Here is an 18,994-nt window from a genome sequence, read left to right on the forward strand (position 1 = left end):
GGGCATTCCTTCCCCAAACTCCCCCAAAACACAGAGACTGCTCCTCCTTCCCGCTGGAGCCTGTGGTCTCAGAGAGTAAAAAGTGGCTTCAGCCCACTGCAGAATTATCTGGAGCACCCAACAGCCTCTGCCCAGGGATCCCTATGTAGGCTGAATCCCTGAGGGTTGCAACAACCACTTGAACCCACAGTGCTGTATTGTCTGCTTCTAATGCCATCAGCACAAGGCTATGGAGTGATCACCCACCATCAGGGTGCTCCGGAATGTCACTGAGGAGGACCGGAATAAGAAAAAACCAACCAAACAAACAAACCAAAAAAAAAAAACCAGAGCCAATTTCAATCCACTTCACCTGAGATGGGTGGGGGGGATAGATAAAAAACCTAATTTAGAAAAACTAGGAACCTAATCTAGAAAACCACTCAGAATATTCTCATGTAGACACTCAGATGCCCACACATCAAACATACAGATGTGCAAATACTTGCTTATTCTCGACCATGGTGAGTGCAAACCTGAACATACATGAATTTTGAAACCTAAAAATGTTTGTATTATCATATATTCTTACAGTCCAGAAGGATAATTAATCCTAAATATCTATATTAACAAACCTTCCAGGCTCTCTCTACAAGTAGTTCCATTCACATCCAGCTATTTTGATTATAGGACACGCCTGATGCCATTTAACATTTTGGCTTTCAGCTAAAACTAAATTTACAGAACCGATGCAAATGTATATATATACATATATATACATATGTGCACACACACATACATGCACACACAAACTCTTCATTTTGGAATAATTTACAACAGTCTAAAAAGTGGGTTTGCTTTTCCTTAAAAGAAAAAAAAAAATCCCTAAGTTTCCTAAACTGTGTTCACGCTCTCTGCTTCTCTACAAATATACACACGTTTTCCTGAAACTTAAAGGCCAAAGAGAGAAGCCGGGAAAAGCCAGGAAGGGATCGAAATCCCAAGGCAGGATTTTAGCCATGTGTAAGTGTCTCTTCTGGTCGTCACCCCGTTTCACCCCATGTGACACCTTATTTAAAAATTACCAGGATCTACTGAGGGGCCGACTTGAGCGCCCAGTGCGTCCTGGGTTTTGGGCGCAGAGCGCAAGGTGAGGCTCCTCCCTCTGCCTGGGCCCAGGTTGTAGCCTGGCGAACCCGAGGCTCCTGGTGCCCTCCGGGCAGAGCTCTGTGCGCTCCCAGCGGCCGGTGATGGCGCGCCAGCCAGCCAGGCCCCGACCGCAAGACAAATGGTGCGGCGCGCGGGTCTAGTCGGCGGCGCGGAGGAGGCAGGAGGAGGCAGGAGGAGGCGGGAGGAGGCGAAGGCTACGGAAGATCAGAAGAGGGGTCAAGCCATCGCTCATGCCGGCCTGAATCGGCCGCTGACCTGGCCCTTATTAAGATGCTGGGGGCCGATTCTACACATAGTGCAGAGGGAAAGGAATTATCTAGGCCATTGTTAGCTGACCCCAAACGGCCGGATAATTGAGATTTCTCGAACAATTTAAATAGATTTCAAAAATCCTTTGGCCGTAAAGATAACCGTCACAATAAAGTAGATGGCAATACGCTAGCATTTGGGGAGACAGGGCAGAGAAAGGTGGAACTGAGTGGGAATAAAAAGGAAAAGGGATGATTATAGTCGTTGGGTTCGTTTTGGGGTTTTTTTATTTTGTTTTTGTTCTGTCCCCGCAAGAGAAGCCGAGCAGGAAAGCCAGACTCTGACTTTGATCTCTGCAAAGGGACCCGAAGCGCGAGGTCTCCTTACCTGCTGGGTGAAGGCGGCCTGCGGGGACGACGGGGACTTGCTGGGGGCCCCGAGCGCGCTCTCGGGTTTCGAATCGCAGGGCAGGTCTTTTGCGTCAGGCTCCAGAGGCGTGTGCGCCAGGCCAAAGCCCTCGTCTGCGTCGGCCATGGTGCGCCCAGGGCCCTGTGCCCGCGCAAGGTTCTGCTCTGAGGACAAGAAGCAGGGGGAGATGGGGGTGGGGAGGACAGAGAGAGAACGAGAGAAAGGTTGGAGAGCACAATTCTAGTGACAGGAGGGAGCAGTTTGGCCCCCAGTTTCCAGCTACCAGCACCTCCGTTCCCAGCCGAAGGTGACTGCAGAAGGCCCTAGAATTATTACTGTTACTAGTATTCCTAGTAGTATTACTATTACTTTATAAGCAGGCACAACTTCTTGCAAAAGACCCGCGTCAGACCCGGAGAAGGTGAGGCCCGCATCTCCCCTGCGCAGGCTCTCCGTGATAAGCAAGCTGCCCGTCAAATTTGTCTGGACTTCTGGAAGAGCCAATAAAGATAAGGCGTGGGTATTTTTGGAAGCCACTGGGTAGGAACCAAAAACAAAACAAAACAAAAACCCAGTGTCCTTTAGAGAATTTCTTTCTTCGCCAAATTACAAGATGCCGTCGAAACTCTTTTTATTAAACCTCACAAGAGGAATAGTTTTCTGCAGCAGGCAGAAATGTGTGAAATAACCCGCCTCTTGCAAAAAGAAAAACACAGAAGGGGAAGGTTGTGCAGATTGAGACTAGGTTCAAAAGAGAATTCATATACACCTTTTACCAGTTACAGGCCTTAACATTAAAAGTCCTTTAAAATTAAACATCCTTTTCTTTATCCCAACCTTAAGTAAGATTCGTTAAAAGATAAAAAGTAGCCAAACAGAAGACTAGATGAAGAAAGTCACCGTGCAGCCGTTCCGAGGAAGGCTCGTCACTGGGTGCCCGCCACCAGCGCTCTGATGCCGGGCGGGGGATGGCGGGCATTTTGTGGAGTGACCAGGCCGAAAGGGGTTTCTCTGAACTTCAGCCAGGCCTGGCCTGCTAAAACTGCAGGCTCAGGCTCAGGATTGGCGAGGACAAAATCATTCTCGGATAAGTCCTAGGCTGGAGACATTGAATCTGCAGCCCGGGTCCCCGCAATGCATAGAACGGCCCGGGTTTGCAGGCGTATGAGCTTAGAACACACAAAATAACTGCCGCAGAGCTGTTCAAGCCCGATGAGCCTGTCTCCTGCTCTCTGATCTCCTTCCAATCTCTTCTATACGCAAGTAGGAATTCCCCCTAGAACGGGAAGACTTTGGGAAGCGGGCACAAGCGATGGTCCCCCAAAACCTCAGCAGCTGCTTAAGCAAGCGGCCAGATCCCACCCTGACCTGCTGTGGCCAGAGATCTAGAAATGGGGCCGAGGAGAAGGACAGCTTCTGAGGCCTGACTTGCAAGCAGCTTTCTTCGCCTCGTTCTCGGGGCTTCAGGGAGGCGGCGACTGGAGCCCCGCTGCCTACTCACAACAAAAGAAAGCAGGGCTGGCGCCCCTACACGCGCTCCCATTCACTGCCGGCCGCGGGGAGAATCCTACCCCGCGCCCTCGCCAGGGTCCCGGGGAGCTCTGGGCTGGCGGAGGCGAACAAGATGCGGTTTGACAGAACCAGGCCGTGCTTCTGCAAACCTCAATGCCGCTCCGCCAGCCGCGGCGGCCTCCCAGACTCCATTTGCCGGGGAGCTCCGAGCCGCGCAAAATCTCTGCAAGCTGTGCTCTGCAGAATGCAAAGCCGGGCTGGAATCCGCCATTCCCGCCGCCCCAGCCGACTCGGCCGACGAGCTCCCTCCTGAGCCTCCCGGGCCATCTGCCGGGACGGTTACCTCGTTCGGTGAAGCCGGTGCATTCACCACATCCTCTGCTGCTCCTAGCAGGGAAGCCGGCGGTGAGGCGGGGGAGCAGGCATGGTGGCTCCGGGGTTTATGCGGGGTTTACTGCTTACCCAGAATAGCGGCTACTGCTGCCTACTAGGGCGCACCTACCGCTGGAGCCTCCGCGGCGACTGCCCACCTCCAACACACACCTCCTCTGCTGTGCGCTTGCTCTCCCTAAATACTTCCCAGTTGGCAAGCGCCAAAGAACACAAAATAGCCTCCAAGAGCACCGGCAACCATATAATCTCAGTGCCCCGCTCCTCCTTTACACCCCCAGGGAGGGAAAGTTGGAAGCCCAGTGAATGGTCGAAGTCCTTTCTGAGCGCAGCTTTCAGGATTAAAGTTCCCGGATTCGAGGTAAGAGTCAGTCTCTCTCACTCTCTCTCCCTCTCTCTCTCTCTCTGAAATACAAGCCAACTCAGCTGAGCACAGTGACGTTGGGTTGCCTCGATGCTCACAAAGTACTGAAATCGCCTATCCAACTAGCTCCCACTGCACTCTGTCGCCCTCCCCCTTCTCTCTCCCTCCCACCCTCCCGTCCTCCCTTCCCCCCACCCCAAATTTCCACTAGATTTCCCGAACACTCAAATCACAATACGACTCTCAACACAGACCTGCAATAACTCCCTCCTCTCTACCCCTTTCCCAACCTCCATCCATCTCTGCTTCTCTGAGCAAGCGGTGGCTGCAAAAACTCCTGCACAAATCATTTCAAACGCGGTCGGCTTCTAATCGGGAAGTAATCTCAGTGACGCTGGCGGTGCAGAGAACCGAGTCTGGACGCACACACACAAACACACCGCGGGCCTCCGCAGCCTTGCAGACATTCTCTCCAACGCTGACCTCGAGAAGGAGAGCTGCCTGACCCCGCCTGGCCGGCGCTCGCCTTCCTGACATCTCCCCTCCACCCCCTACTCATCACCCCTACTCTCAACGACTCTGGGGTGAAGGCAGGGTGAAGGTGCATTGGGATGGGGGCCGAGATCAAAGATGCTAAGAAATCGCTGCGGGCCCTCACCCCCCACCCAGTGGGGCCACCAGACGTCCCCTGCTCCAGGTGTACACAAGGCAGTGCCCAGTTTTATTAAAATAATCAAACAGTCACTGGGGACTGGCTAGGGTTTTCATCTCCACTGGTCTCCTCTCCTTGCCCTTTCCCTCTCTGAGATGTATTTTTTTTTTTTAGGGTGAGTTGAAGAGGTCAATAAAAGCACAAACACAGTCAGTAGGTCTCAGTCTGAGCAGACCCAGATTGGGACACCGAATATTGGTGCTTGGAGTAAATGTCAGGAGTCCTGTTCTGTTTCCCATCCTTACCTCCTGTACCCCCATCATACTGATTTTTCTAGGGTTCTGATAAGAGACTTGGGCCTGCAAGTCAAGGTCTGGAGAAAGGGATGGAGGGAGGAGAAATGCCCCGAGGTCAGCAGCTGTGTAACCCTCTGTGACTGCTCTGCTAAAATCCCAGGCCAGGCCATTGCTGCAAAATGCCAAAGTGGAGAATCTCCAACCCTGAATGTGGGGCAACCGGGGAGAAAGCCAGCCCTCCTTTGCTATGGTGCTCACTCCACCTTCCAGGTTTGTTTGCAAACAGATATTTTCCCTTTGCCCAGGCGATGTATTTATTTGTGAAAACACCCTCACCCTCCAAGTCAGCTTGGAGGCCTTTAGGCTTGCTGGCAAGGCGACCCTAGGCCGAAGACACGAAAAACAAACATGGCATCGGAAGAAGGCTGAACCGCTACATCTCCAGTAGAGGGAAAGGGAAATCCAGAAAGACCTTCCCAATCCCTTTAAGTTCTCAGAGATTTGGGGATAAAATTAATTCCCATAAATAATCTTCAGGCCCCTCCAGAGAGGAAAAATCTGGACTCTCCCAGGTAATAGCCCAGCCAGATTTGCTTAGCTCATTGAGCACAGATGGTCTGGGCCACCAAGCAAAATAGGGATTTTCAAACCTTTCGAGAGAATCCATTCTTGCCAGGTGACACACGAAGCCATTCTTATTTCGTTCATGAGAAGTAGCAGCACAGCAAGAGAAGATTCAGCAAGACTAAGACGGGGTGAAAAGCCAAGGAGGGCCAAGTGCAAAGAGAAACCTATTTCCCCCCTCAGTCCTCCAGGGTGAAACTCACCTCCAACTATCCCACCTCTTCTTTGGAGCGCAAAAGCCAGGAGTGCGCCTCGCTGGAGAGCAGGGCTCAGGTGAAGACTTTGAAAAGGACCACCAAAAGAGACCTCTTTAGGCCAGGTCTTCTTCCAACGTCTGTCAAGAAGAGCACGTACCTCCCAGCTCAAGGTTGGTTTGTGGTCTCCGACAAATTAAATATTACTGTTTATTACCAGGCATACCCCAGTAAAATAAAGAGGCAACCAGGCGATAGCGACTATCTCACCAGCCGCTGCACCTATAGGACTTGGAGACGTCACGAGTCACGCAACCGGCCCGCGCGCTGTCACGTTTGGCTGGGGGGCAGCGGCGGGAGGTAAATTTCTCTCCGTCTTCGCCTATCAGTGCCGGGTCTGCGCAGCCACAGGTTCCGGACGTCTTGGCCCCGGGAATAAATAAAGACATAAACCAACCCGGCTTTCTCCGGAGGAATGAGGGTGATGAACATAAGACACAAATAGAGCCAAGATCGACTTTCTTAGGAAGGGGGAGAGGAGGGAACTCTTCACGAAGGGAGGTGGGAGTCCACCTCAGACCTCTATTGGAAGGAAATCGAGTTGTTCCGGGGGACTGAGGTCTCTTGCATAAGGCATGGGATCCTTATTATTATTATTATTATTTTTAAATCCCCCGCGGAGGAGCTCTGGGCAAATGAATACCGAGGCGCCGCTCTAGCTGGTTAGGCTTGGGATGCGATAACTCAGTGCCCTCTTGCAGACTTGCATAGAAATAATTACTGGGTTGTCGTGGAGGGGACACGAGACAGAGGGAGTTCTCCGTAATGTGCCTTGCGGAGAGAAAGGTCCAAGAATGCAATTCGTCCCAGAGTGGCCCGGCAGGGGCGGGGTGCGAGTGGGTGGTGGAGTAGGGGTGGGAGTGGAGAGAGGTGGTTTCTGTAGAGAATAATTATTGTACCAGGGCCCGCCGAGGCACGAGGCACTCTATTTTGTTTTGTAATCACGACGACTATTATTTTTAGTCTGATCAATGGGCACAATTTCTAAGCAGCGCAGTGGTGGATGCTCGCAAACTTTTGCGCACCGCTGGAAACCCACTAGGTTGAGTTGCAAAACGTACCGCGTAGACGCCCCTGGTGGCGCCGAGAGAAGAGCTAGGCCTGCCCAGCACAGAGCCGGAGAGCGTCGGGCCTTCCGGAAGGGTAAGTTCTCCGCCAAGGGGTCCCGAGGGAGCTGGACGTCTGAATCTGGACTTGCCCCCAGCTTCGGGGTTCGATTCTGGGTTTTGCGCGTCCCCAACCCCCAGGGCTTTCCGAAGCATGGCCTGGCTCCAGGCCCGGTCCTGTAAGGACTGGAACGGCAGCAAAATGTGCAGGGAGGCAGTCGGCCGGCAGAGCTGCGGCGGGAGCCAAGGTCAGGCCCGCGGGGAGAGCGGGCAGCTTCCAGCGCCGGCCACAAGCTCCCAGGCCAGCTGGGCCGCAGACCCCTTTGCTTCCAGAGAGCACAACCCGCGTCCTTTCTCTCAGCCAGGCTGCAGTGGCTGCCCCGAGCTTCGCTTTCGTTTCCCAAGCTGTTAATAACGATATGTCCCCAAATCCGAGGCTCGTGTTTGCTCCCAGATGCCAAGAACGCAACCCGAAATCCTTCTCCCAAACCCTAGGTCGACGAGATGAGTTCCTACTTGACCTCTGAGCCGAGGTGGGCCGGAAACCGAGGCCTAGGCCCCGCCGGGGCTGCAAGGAAAAGGGGAAACTCCGAGCGTAGCGTCTTTTCCTTGTGGTTCCTTTCTCCGGCATCCCGGACTGCGGGCCCTGCAGCCACCTGGACCGGCATTCAAAGGATTCTGCAAGTCCAGCTTCACAGACTGGCTTTCCCAGACGCTCCGAAGCCCGCACCACGAACAGAATAAAGGAGAGACGAGAGATCGCAACTAGATTTGAGAATCCTCGTTCTTTTCCCCAATCGTTCGGGCAGTAAACTCCGGAGCCGGCTACAGCGCGCATCCTCCCTTCCTCCTTTCGGAGAACTGTCGCTTTCCCGAAGCTGCTCCCAGCTGGGTTTTCTCCCGAAGTTTATTTTTCTCATTTTGCAAAATTCCTGCCCTGATTTTAATACTGCAACAGGACAGCAGAGGTTCCTCTTTAAAAAGTCAAAACCCAAACCAAAGGGGCCCATTGCTGTTGATAATTTTTTTCTTCACCTTCTCCTTCCGTTTTTAAGAAAGACACTTCCAAAACTACCCATTGTTTTCCTCTCAAAAGAGAACTCGCTTTAAAATGCATCCCTTTCTATTTCTCTCCGGATATGTCCCCACCTGACCCGGTGGCAACTTGTGGGGCGTGGGGGTAGTGAAAAATAGAAGTGTGGACGGGGCTGGGAAAATGAATAAGAATTATAACAATAGAAATGATGACAAAACTAAACTTTGACCAATTCAATTTGCAAAAGAAAGGGTTGGTCTGAGGGTGAGACATTCCCTGGTTTCTCAAGGGGGTCACTTTCCCTCTCACCGAGTTAAATCTGGCTCTGTTATATTTTTTCCAGGAACACAGTATGTCTCTTCCCAATGTTTTATTCGGTTTCTGGTTTCCCCACTTTTGACCGGAAGTATGTGGGAAGAATACTGGCTGTTATTATTATGATTATTGAGTGTCCAATACTCTCCTCCAATATTTCCACCAAGAATTATTATCGCTGCTCTCCTCATTCATGTTAGTGTTGCTTTGTGTGCTTTAGATGACAATCGTCCTCTTTACTCTCCAAGTTTGGAGGGTGAGGGTTTTTTGTTGTGGTGGTGGTGGTTGGGTTCTTCTTTGTTTTTGTTTTTTTGTTTTTCCTGTTCGGGGTAATGAAATGAGAACTGGAAGAGAGGATATCATTTCGAGGCCCAGCTGAGAAGGATCCCAATGCGAAAAATTTACACACTTCAAAGAGCAGAAAGGTGGAAGCGAGTGGTGCTTGGACACAAGGATGCCACTGTTCTTATCTCCTCCAATTTGGGAAGTGCCCAGCCTAGAAAGGTGAGGGTCCCATCTGGGAGACCATGGAGTACCCCCAGGGTCACACTGAGCCTAAGAACTTCAACCATCCTGCAGGTCAAAACCCACTGATAGGTCTCCCAAAATGTTTGGGGTAGGGGGAAGAAACATAGGGCATTCCAGGTCTGTAACCCTGCAAGAGAGAGACTCAAACTAATATGTCTAGGTCTGGGGTGAAGGTGGGGGGCCTGTCTGGATACCTCCTCCCTCAATTGAAGGGCTCGTTGGAAACATAGGAACCCACTGCTCTCTGGGACTCTGGAAAGACAAATTTTCTTTGGCAAACGGAACAGTGTCGCGCTGTCGACAGAGCAGACTATTTTTCTTGTTCCCTCACAAGGTGGGGGTGGGGGGAAAGAAAAGGAAGCAAGAAAGAAAGGGAAATTAAATCCACACGTGTTAAGCTCGCTCAAAGGGCCAGAGTCAAAACCAGAGATGAAACTTCGACTCCAGTTCTGGCTGCCCGCGGGCCTCTTTCCAACCAGCCAGGCCTCACAGAGCAAGGCATCCCCACTGGAGAGAATTCGATCTGATGTTTCATAAAGCGCTTTATTTAAGGAGAAGGGGCATGGGTCTGTCTCCAAGTCTGTGCTGCAGAAATCCAGAATTTGTAGCGGCAAAGAAAACAAAGGAGATAACAATTGTAATCATAATGACCCTCTTTATGAAAACTCATCTTGATGTCCTCCAAATCAAAACAACAATTCAGGCAATATTCAAGCAATGGCCAAAATCATCCAGGCCATTAAATCATCCAGGCCATTGTTTTACAAAATTCCTAAGGTCTGATCAGGCTTTCGGACTTGGGCCTAGCTGGGTCAAGAGAACCTGAAATGCTGTTGTCAAGAGACTCTGAAATCACCAGTTTAATCAGGACAGCTAATCTCTACATCCTTGAGGCCTCTCTTTTGGGGAGAGACTTTCTTGAGAGAGGACACTACAGGACTCAGCTACAGAGCTCTGCTATACATGGGTGGGAGTGGAGGCCGCCACCCCACCTGGAACTGTGAGTGAAAACTCTAGTAATGATCTTGAGGAGGTGAAGGGAGGTAGGTGGGGGTGTGGGTGATGAGGGAGGCCAAACCCCAATCTGGAAGGATCTGTCACTGAAACAATTGCTTGGTCGAGACCTCTAATTTTTCTTCCTCTCCAGCCAGTCTCCTGTGGCTCCCTGGTGCTGGGTTTCTGGCCTTTGGTGACATCCTAACAGAAGGGTCCGGAAGCAGGGACCCCAGACACCTTGCTCCCTCTCCCAAATCACACCCAAAACATACTGGGGTGAAACAACTGACAGAGGGTCTCTGTGGTGAGCAACTGACTGAAGTTTCCAGTGGAAAAGTTCCTGACGATTGTTTCCGCAGGGACCTTGAATTTCCTGGTCACCATGGCGACCTGGAAGTCCCACCGAATGCTCTCAACAATGGGGTACCCCGAGGACATTCGTGCAATTGGCTGCGCAGTCTGAGGCCTGAAAAGCGTTTCTGCCAATCGTTCTTGACTTTCTGGAGCCTCCTTAGTGGGTTCAACGGAGCAGGGATTTTTAAAACTGCCCCCTTTTTTAAACAGGGGAGAAAATTGAGATTTAGTACCAGGTGGGTTCAGGTCCTGAGCAAAAGCCCCATCTTTGAATTCAGAATGCTGACCCCAGGGCCGATCGTGTAGAGCCTATGGTGTATCTTAATCGAAACCCGTGGCCCAAACATCTCAGCCAGGAACCTGGGACTTTAGGTGTCACTTAATCTCTTCACACCTGTTAACTACACCTATCTGCATAGGAGGCTCCCCACATCAGTCCAGGCAACTTTTTTCTTTGCCTGGGGCCATTTCTTCTAAATGGAAGGAGAAAAGTCTGAGCATTAGAAATTGTGGCATTAATGTCTGCAAGGGCTAATGGAGTGAAAAGAATACATTATTCTCCTTTTCTTCTTAGAAAAAAATTTCAATTGTGGATGTAATAGAAATACCATTAAAATAATATTTCTGATTGCATTGCTTTCTTCTTGAATGTTTATCAGAGGGGAGGGGGAAGTGGATCTTTTCATTTTGGGGTGGACAGTGGATAATACAGGCTGATTTTCTTGTGTCCGGTTCGGAGGCACTGCGCCTGCAGGGTTTGGCAGCGATGCAGGCAGCAAGGAGAGAAAGGGTGACAGAGAGAAGGCGTCCAGGCCTCAGGTGCCGACAGAGGTCTTTGGCGGTGGGACGGGAGCTACTCCTCCTCTGGGTCCTCTCTCAGCTTTGTTCCATTCTGCTGCCAACCCCATCTTTCTCCTGACTGCTCAGGAAAGACAAAATTTAACTTCTCTCCCCCTGTTTCCAACAGGACATCTAATGTCCCTCAAAGCTGCTGGCTGGCTCTGTAGTGCCTCCACCCATTCCTTTCTCTTCTGAGAGCCCAGGCAGCCTACAGAGGCTCCCGCTTCTAACCCAACGCCTCCTGTTTCCTTCCCTCCCCAGCATTTTGCATTAATATTTTAGAAGAGTCCTACTTATGTCTACACAACCACCAAGAGAGCAATGTGAGTATTTTAGGCTCACAAATCTGTTAGCATTTGAGGTGCAATAATAGCCAACATTTATGGCAGGCCAGGAAAGAGCCATTGTAACCTGGTTTTGCTCACACATTTAGCTCTGAATCGCTCTATGAGAAGAGAGCTCAATTCTCCTCAACCTTACAGAAGAGGTTTCTGGCGCTCTGGCCACCGCCCCACTCTGGTGGGATTCGAACCTATCAGAAGGCAGGGTTCCTCTATCAAGGCAGGAAGGGGAACCGGGGAGAGGTCTGTTGGATTGGGGGAGTGCAAAGGGCACTTTTTCAGCGTCGAAAAGCACACTTAGTTGAAAACCGGGGGGGAATTGGTCCTTCTGTCACGGAGCGAAGGCTCACATCATTTCTGATGTCTCAGTCTTTTCTCCCCATTCCCACTGAGGCCCCAGAAGAGAGCCTGGGGGCAAACAGCCCAGATTCACTGGCATTAAGCAAGATGGGAGGGAGGACGGAAAGATGCTGATGTTCTCCTTTCCAAACCTCACTGTTCTATTCCCAAATCCTGGCCCACATTCATCATAGCCTCAAGGCCAGTACACACTGTCCCCTGGCTTTGAGGGAGGAAGATGGGTGGGTGGGATGGAGCCGGGCAGAGATGTGCCCGGCTCCATTTTTTTTTTTTTTTTTGAAACAAATAATTAGGCTGTGAGAGGGTGAGGACTTGCCCGAAGTCACACAGCCCCTGCTGGAAATGCACACAGCCCCTGCTGGAAATGCGCACAGCCCCTGCTGGAAATGCTCCTTCCCTTTCCCTACTCTCCCGCGCCTTCAGGTAGAGCGTTTAAGGGATTCCCAGCAGTTCCCGAGTACACGTGGAGGCTGCTCCCCGGCGTGCTGGAGCGGCTGCGGGCTCAGTCTGCGGAGGGCGCCCCGGTGAAGTGTGGAGTTCGCAGTCGGACGCGGCCGCCCGGCCTCTCGGTTCCGGGCCTTCCCCTCCCAGGCACTGCGTTCTGCGGCCGGGACAGCACCCGCCAGGCGCGGCCCTTCTCCTATCTTTGCTCTGTGGCTCTCCCTGGGGCCGGAGGAGTCCTGCCGCCTCAAGGCCCCAGACTCCGCACCCGGAGGGACTTGCCGCTAGCGCCGCTCCTTCAGCCTCCCCAGGCGCTCCCTTCGCTTCCCGGTGTTTCAGGCTCTTCCCACCGCCTGTTTGCTCTGGGCGCAGCGCTGGCTGCCACACTTGCAAGTTAGGAAGAAAATGACTTCTTTAGAAAGTGGGGGACTCTGAGATCCAAACCCCTCGAGCAGCGCCTCAAAGGGAGGTGCAAGGGATCCCCACTCTCTCACTTCCCTCCCTTCGGTTCCCTCCACCCTCCTCCACCTGTGTCCTCCCTGCTTCGGAGTCATTCTTTTAGTGCCTGAGTCTTTCCACCTCCACGTAGAATACATTCCCTCCGAGGCACCCTCAGGTGATCCTGCCTCATCTCCAGGATCCTCGGCTACCCCCCAGCCCAGGCCACCCCCATGCTAGCAGACATCAGGCTCAACGTTTGGGGTTCCTCCCAGATTTCTCAGCCTGCTCTGCTCACTAGCAACGGCTCCCACAGGAGCCCCGCATCCTGGTTCCTGGTCCCCGTGGGTGAGTCTTGATGAGCGCCCAGGACCCAGGAGGCTAAGTCTTAAAGACAAGGGCCAGTCCTATAGCATTCTTGCCCATGCTCCCGAACTCCATCTTCTAACAAAACCAGAGGGTCCAGGCTGCCCAGCTGGAGAGGTCTGTCTTCTGTGTGGCTGAATATGGCATTGTCCTGGAGTCTTTCTATAGGACTGAGTCATTTGAGGGGGAGCTTTACGTATCTCTGTGCTGTTGTGTTAGTTGTGTGTGTCTGTGTCATTACATGTGCTTCCTTGAGAGGGGGCATTTCGAAAATAGTTACCTATGCACTTTTTCTGTGGACCTCCTTATGTGAAAACAGCTGTGAGCCTGTGGAACATGGGGTCTTGTGCATGTGTGTGGTGGGAGTTTGTGTGAGCCTGTGTGTCATTGTGGAAGGCAGTGTGTGTGAGTGTGTGGGTGTGGGTGTTTAGAGGGCGGGGCAGCCACCGCCCAAACATCACCTCGGGTCAGATGGTTTTCTGGGCTCATAACCTAATGCTCAGTGCCCCCCCCTCCTTTTATTGGCCACTTTTATGATTATTATTTTTACCGACAGCTCCAAGCAGAGGCCTGTGGGCCTGGGCCTCCTGGAAGGCAATCACTGTTCTGCCATTCAGCCTGGGAGGCCAAAGGGGCTGTCTGCAGCAGCCTGGGCCACCCGAGTCTATATTTGGAAGCAAATTCCACAGCCACTTCCTGGGAACTGGGAAAAAGGTGCCTGGGAATTGGAGAGGACAGTGTTGTCAGTGCAACTTCGTCCCTGTCCCCGAGCACGCAGGGGAAGCCCTCACACCCTTAGCAGGTTGGAAATAGCAGGTGCAAGATCCATGCTGGGCACGAACACGGGCAGAAATGCACCCCTTTGCAGTATTGGAGGCACAGTTACTTCCTCCATAGGCGGAGTGAAAGGCTTGAGTAGGTGATATACAGGCACAACCCACCTACTGGCATGCAAAGCACCTGCACCACAGTTGTGCACATGCTCCCCGGGCACACACCTCCTGGGCCTTCCCCAGTACCAGAAGGACAGGGGAGTTGACTCTAAATCCTGATTATGTGTACTTCTTGGAAATTGATTCCAGGAGATCAGATGAACCAGTCTGGCTGCCCACAAGTCCTTTGCCCAAAGCAGCCTTTGACCTTGTCCCCGAGGGTTCACAGACCTGGCGGACTCCAGGGAGGGTTTGCTTCTGCTGCTCCATAGATACCAGGGTGACAGCTCCAGGGCTGGCATGATTAGAGACAGCTGCTTGCAGCAAATCTTTCCTAGGCTAGGTAAAGACCTGGACTGCTGAGCCGATCCCTCTGCCAGCCATCAGCCACATGGTGAAGCAGCAGCAATGATCTGGCCTTGGCCACCTATGACACCACGGGGCTGGGAGAAAGCTGGTTCACCTGTTCAGGGTGGCCCAGCCCCTCACTGACACCACAGCCTCAGCCCTCTGTTCCCAAGGGGTCAAGCAGTGAGATGCCCCAGACCCGGCCACTTGGGAGTCACTTATAGCATACACAGCCATGCACAGCCACCCACTTTGTATATGGGTGCAGCCTTTCTATCTCACACACACAGGCACGCCAAGCAGCCACCCACTGCGTGTCTAGGTTCAGCAATTTTGTCACATAGCTGCCACCATATTCATCACACATTCATATAAACATATATACTATACATATATATAAATACATGTATATATTAACATATGAATTCATACATGCATAGACACAGTCACATACACATTCTAGTATTCAAAGTCACACAAAGCCACACATGCACACACCCCTGTACACACATGGTCTGATCACAAACCCACTGCCACTCTCATGGTCACGTTCAACAACACATCACAGAAACACACTGAATCTTTGATATGCACAAACACACATGTATACTCTTTAACACTCAGCCTCACACAATAGGCAAATACCCACAAACATACACCTCTTTGTCCACATACACATACTCTCACACAAAGGCACACACCCACAGATACCAATTCAGACACACAATCCTGGCCACTCACAACCACCCACAGGCTCACAGCTGTGCATAAATGCACATCAGTTCAGTCACACACACACTCACAGTCACATTTACACTCCCTGTTGTCCACCCTCACACACAACCACACACTGCCCCCTACCCCCAGTATATCTCCCCCTTCAGTGTCAGGCACACACATCACAACCAAGGCCATGCATACACACACTTACAATGACTTCAATTTACAATTTTCCAACTTCAGAACGGGTTTATCCGGGTATTAAGTGCACTTTTGACTTAGCAATATTTTCATCGTACGACGAGCTTATTGGAATGTGACCCCATCTTACATGGAGTAGCTCACATGCACTCATAGCTGTGTGCACAGCTGTGCATGTGCAGCCACACACACTCTCACACACTCAGTCCCAAACCAGCCACACTCACAATTACAGGTCTTCCCCCTGAGTCACAGACATTAGCCCATGCATACTCTTGGATCCACACATACCCTCACGGTTGCATTCAGATCCATTCATTCTGGATTCACACGGTCACTGCATCATTCCAGGGTCCCCCACACATCAGCCTCAGACCCTCATGTATCCTCTTATGTGGCCACACACACACAGGTACACTTGGAGGCGGGCTGCCCCTGCCCAGCCTGGCAGAAGGAATTGTGTGGTCACAATTAGAGACTGTTCCCCACTGGCATGGTGAGGTTAGCCTGGAGCGAACCCCTTGATTCCACAGGTCCCACTCAGACTAGAAACCACCAATTCAGGAGGAAGAAAGACATGTGGGTTTGGAGCAGGCAAAAGAAAAGCCCATCTCCAGCCATGTCCTCAGTCCTCAGCCCACCCCTTAAGGTCCCAGGGCTTCGACACAGCCCCATCCTTGAGGATGGGACCTGAATAGTCCCTTAGCAATAACTAGTCCAACTCTTTAATTTTATATATGGGGAAACTGAGATCTAGAGGTGCAGAGAGTGAAGGGAATTGCTAAAGTTCTCCAGGAGTTCGAAGCAAGCTGAGAGTGGGACCGTTTTCTTCTGCCTCCAGTGCAAACCACACTACAGTGACCTCTGGGAGATTCCTGGATCCCATTAACCCCCTCTCCTCACAGCACCACCACTGCCATCACCATCCTTCCACCCAGTGGTCCCATCTAGCCCCCAAGGATGCCTGAGCTACCTGCCACTGAGGAAAAATGAAGCATCAGCTCATGTCCTGATCGTGTTCACAACCCTCCAAAGGTCAGGCACCATGGCTCATGCCTGGGATCTCAGTACTTTGGGAGATCAAGGAGGGAAGATTACTTGAGGCCAGGAGCTCAAGGCTGTAGGGAGATATGATTGCACCACTGTACTCAAGCCTGGGTGACAGAGTGAGACCCTGTCTCAAAACAAACAAACAAAAAGTCTTAGAATAAAACCTGAACTCTTTCCCGTATCAGGAAGGCCTTGCAGGAGCTGGCCCCTGCCTGCCCTCCTATCTCATCCTGCCCTCCTTTCTGCCTCTCCATTCCACCCACCTCCTTCTCTGATCCTCATTTGTACCAGCCTTTGCTCCTACCCCAGGGCCTTTGCACATGCCATTCCCTCTACTCCCAGCCCCCCTTGCAACTGCCTCCTCTGTGGCCAACCCCTCCGTGAGGCCAGCCCTGACCACTGGCCATTGAAATTCCCTCTCTCCATCTTATCACTCTGTTTTATTTATTACATAGCACTGACCACTATCAGAAGTTATTTTACCATTATCCTTAGCAAACTAACGAAGGAACAAAAAACCAGACACCGCATGTTCTCACTTATAAGTGGGAGCTGTGCAATGAGAACACATGGACACAGGGAGGGTAACAATACACACTGGGGCCTGTCAGGAGAGGGTGGGGGGTGGGAGAGAGCATTAGAGAAAAGAGCTAATGCATGCTGGGCTTAATACCTAAGTGATGGGTTGACAGGTGCAGCAAACCACCATGGCACACATTTACCTTATGTAACAAACCTGCACATCCTGCACATGTACCCCGGAACTTAATAATTTTTAAAAAATTATTTTGCTTATGTATTAGTTTCTTCTCTGTAAAATGGGGCTAACAGTGGTACTCCCTTCTGTTAGGGCATTTGTGAGGATTAAGTGAATTTCTAGAGGTAAAGCTTTTAGAAAATACTTGGTGTCTAATAAGCACACTGTATTGCTGTCATTTTTTGTTATGTGCTTAGTTATTATGTTTCCACCTCGGACTCTAAGCTGGCTAGAGGTCATGGCTGTTTCCTTCAACACCGCATCCCAAGTATCCAGGATTATGCCCTTCCTGTAATCGACACTAGTTAAACATGTGTTAAACAAAATATATAATGGTGTCATAACAGATGGACTTGAACCCAGGGAGACATATGCAAAACATATACAGATGCTCCTCGACTTAAGATGGGGTCACGTTCCAATAAGCTCATCGTATGATGAAAATATTGTTAAGTCAAAAGTGCACTTAATACCCGGATAAACCCATTCTGAAGTTGGAAAATTGTAAATTGAACCATTGTAAGTCAGGGACCATCGGCATAAGGAATCAATAAAGTGCATAGGACCAGGGAGCTCTCCTCCCTCTGGGCGATACAAATAAGAAGATGATTCTGAATGGCGATCAGTTTGCAGGGGAAAATACCCCCCTCCCCCGCAGCATGTTTTTTGGCTTTCTGAGCCTTGCTTCCCTGAGAAAGTTCCTCTCCTTCTGCCCCAAGTGGCCCCCATCACCGATTACCCCTCCCCGTCCCCTGGGCCTTTCTTTTGGCTACCTTTCCATCTCTTCCCAGGAGCCTGGAGAAGGAGCCAGCAGATAAGTGAAAGTGGTACTTTTTATAGGCTGATAAAACCCATGCTTATCTAGAAGGCTCTGTCCCATCTCCCCGTGTCCCTAATTGATCATTTGCCCAATGCCCTCTCCGCCAGAGCTGCAGACACCAGGGAAACGTGACTCAGGCCACCCTCCTTGGCCTTCTTGCCTCTCTGTTTAATTTCCCTGCCCTTTGCCTTTGTGAGAGGGGGGCTGCCCCATGCAATGTTTGCCAGGAGAATTTGAGGAATCAGGAGGGAGGTGAGAAGAGATGGGGAGAAGGATAGTGGGGTCCAGACTTTCCCAAGTGGGTTTGCTGTGCCACTATTTAATGATGCTAACTATATTAAATTCTATACTCTAGCAGCCTCTTAAATCCGTTTATGGCCCATGCTAGACCCTGAGCTATAATAATAATAAAAATAAAATAAAGGATTTATGCATCCAGGGTGTGGACCCGTCACTGGCAGAAAAGAAAGAGCTGTTTCTAGCTGATTTTGCTGGCCTGTTTCTCACACTCTGACCTCCTGTTTTCCCTGGGTGGAGGCTCCCAGGAGCAGGGAGAAGGATTGGATTCCTGGCAGAAAAGGAGATTTAGGGAGGCGAGAAAAAGCCAACTTAAAAGGAGCATTGGCTGGGCTCTTCTCAAACCAGTTTTTCTAAACTCCAGTCTCTCCACTTCCCTCTCTTGGGCTCGTGTAGAAGAATTTGTTTGTATTGTAGCTTGAGCAGACCTAAACCCAAATTGTGACTCGGAATTGAAAAGAGAGCAGACAAATGGAGTGGACATTGCTTAGAGAGGAAGCTGGATATTGTGGTTAAGCCTTAGGCATTGCCACGTGTCCAAATCCTAGCCCTGCCAGTTCCTAATTGAATGAACTTTAAGAACTAGGACTTACGAACTAGGGAACATAAGTCTCTTCACCTTTCTCAGCCTCAGTTTCTCAATCCATATAATGGGTTTCATAAGAATGTCGGCTTCAGGTGGTTGTTGAGAGGAAAAATAATACAATACAGTACAGTCATATGCCACATAAAGACATTTAGGTCAATGATGGGCCACATATACAACAGTGGTCTCATAAGATTATAATGCTGTATTTTTACTGTACTTTTTCTATGTTTAGTTGCACAAATGCCACTGTGTTATGATTAT

General features: G+C 50.8%; 1 protein-coding gene and 2 long non-coding RNA genes across 7 annotated transcripts in view, besides 4 other annotated features; 1 reads left to right on the forward strand and 2 right to left on the reverse strand.

Moving 5' to 3' along the window:
* TBX5 (T-box transcription factor 5) overlaps positions 1-6,476 on the reverse strand; it is a 54,532-nt gene extending 48,056 nt beyond the window's left edge. Inside the window, exons 1-2 of one of the 4 annotated variants that reach the window (XM_017019912.2) lie at positions 4,363-6,046; positions 1,786-1,970 (exon numbers count right to left, since the gene is read on the reverse strand). In XM_017019912.2, coding sequence (XP_016875401.1) covers positions 1,786-1,970; positions 4,363-4,372 — 195 coding nt within the window. In that variant the 5' untranslated portion in view covers positions 4,373-6,046. Of the gene's footprint in view, positions 1-1,785; positions 1,971-3,661; positions 4,179-4,362 lie in introns of those variants that run through there. The other 3 variants (NM_181486.4, NM_000192.3, NM_080717.4) reach the window with 3 other exon arrangements.
* Positions 3,380-4,066: an enhancer, noted in NCBI's record as "H3K27ac-H3K4me1 hESC enhancer chr12:114843151-114843837 (GRCh37/hg19 assembly coordinates)". NCBI's record gives its function as "activates a minimal SCP1, AML or CMV promoter by ChIP-STARR-seq in primed H9 embryonic stem cells {active_cell/tissue: H9 hESC(primed)}" and the evidence as "EXISTENCE:reporter gene assay evidence [ECO:0000049][PMID:30033119]".
* Positions 4,105-4,605: an enhancer, noted in NCBI's record as "H3K4me1 hESC enhancer chr12:114843876-114844376 (GRCh37/hg19 assembly coordinates)". NCBI's record gives its function as "activates a minimal SCP1, AML or CMV promoter by ChIP-STARR-seq in primed H9 embryonic stem cells {active_cell/tissue: H9 hESC(primed)}" and the evidence as "EXISTENCE:reporter gene assay evidence [ECO:0000049][PMID:30033119]".
* TBX5-AS1 (TBX5 antisense RNA 1) lies at positions 6,229-10,866 on the forward strand. The gene is made up of 3 exons (NR_038440.1): positions 6,229-6,319; positions 6,862-7,041; positions 7,500-10,866. It is a non-coding gene; the product is annotated as a TBX5 antisense RNA 1 (long non-coding RNA).
* Positions 7,326-7,866: an enhancer, noted in NCBI's record as "H3K27ac-H3K4me1 hESC enhancer chr12:114847097-114847637 (GRCh37/hg19 assembly coordinates)". NCBI's record gives its function as "activates a minimal SCP1, AML or CMV promoter by ChIP-STARR-seq in naive H9 embryonic stem cells {active_cell/tissue: H9 hESC(naive)}" and the evidence as "EXISTENCE:reporter gene assay evidence [ECO:0000049][PMID:30033119]".
* Positions 12,391-18,994, reverse strand: part of LOC105369998 (uncharacterized) — a 34,225-nt gene continuing 27,621 nt past the window's right edge. The window contains exons 3-4 of one of the 2 annotated variants that reach the window (XR_945376.3): positions 13,570-13,737; positions 12,391-12,601 (exon numbers count right to left, since the gene is read on the reverse strand). This is a non-coding gene — a long non-coding RNA (uncharacterized LOC105369998). The remainder of the gene's footprint in view (positions 12,602-13,569; positions 13,738-18,994) is intronic. The other variant, XR_007063469.1, reaches the window with a different exon arrangement.
* Positions 13,500-18,467: an enhancer, noted in NCBI's record as "CRE16". NCBI's record gives its function as "enhancer in ventricles, interventricular septum, atrioventricular canal" and the evidence as "EXISTENCE:transgenic organism evidence [ECO:0001131][PMID:22543974]".

This window comes from Homo sapiens, chromosome 12, assembly GCF_000001405.40.
Source record: "Homo sapiens chromosome 12, GRCh38.p14 Primary Assembly".
NCBI classification, from domain to species: Eukaryota; Metazoa; Chordata; class Mammalia; order Primates; family Hominidae; genus Homo; species Homo sapiens.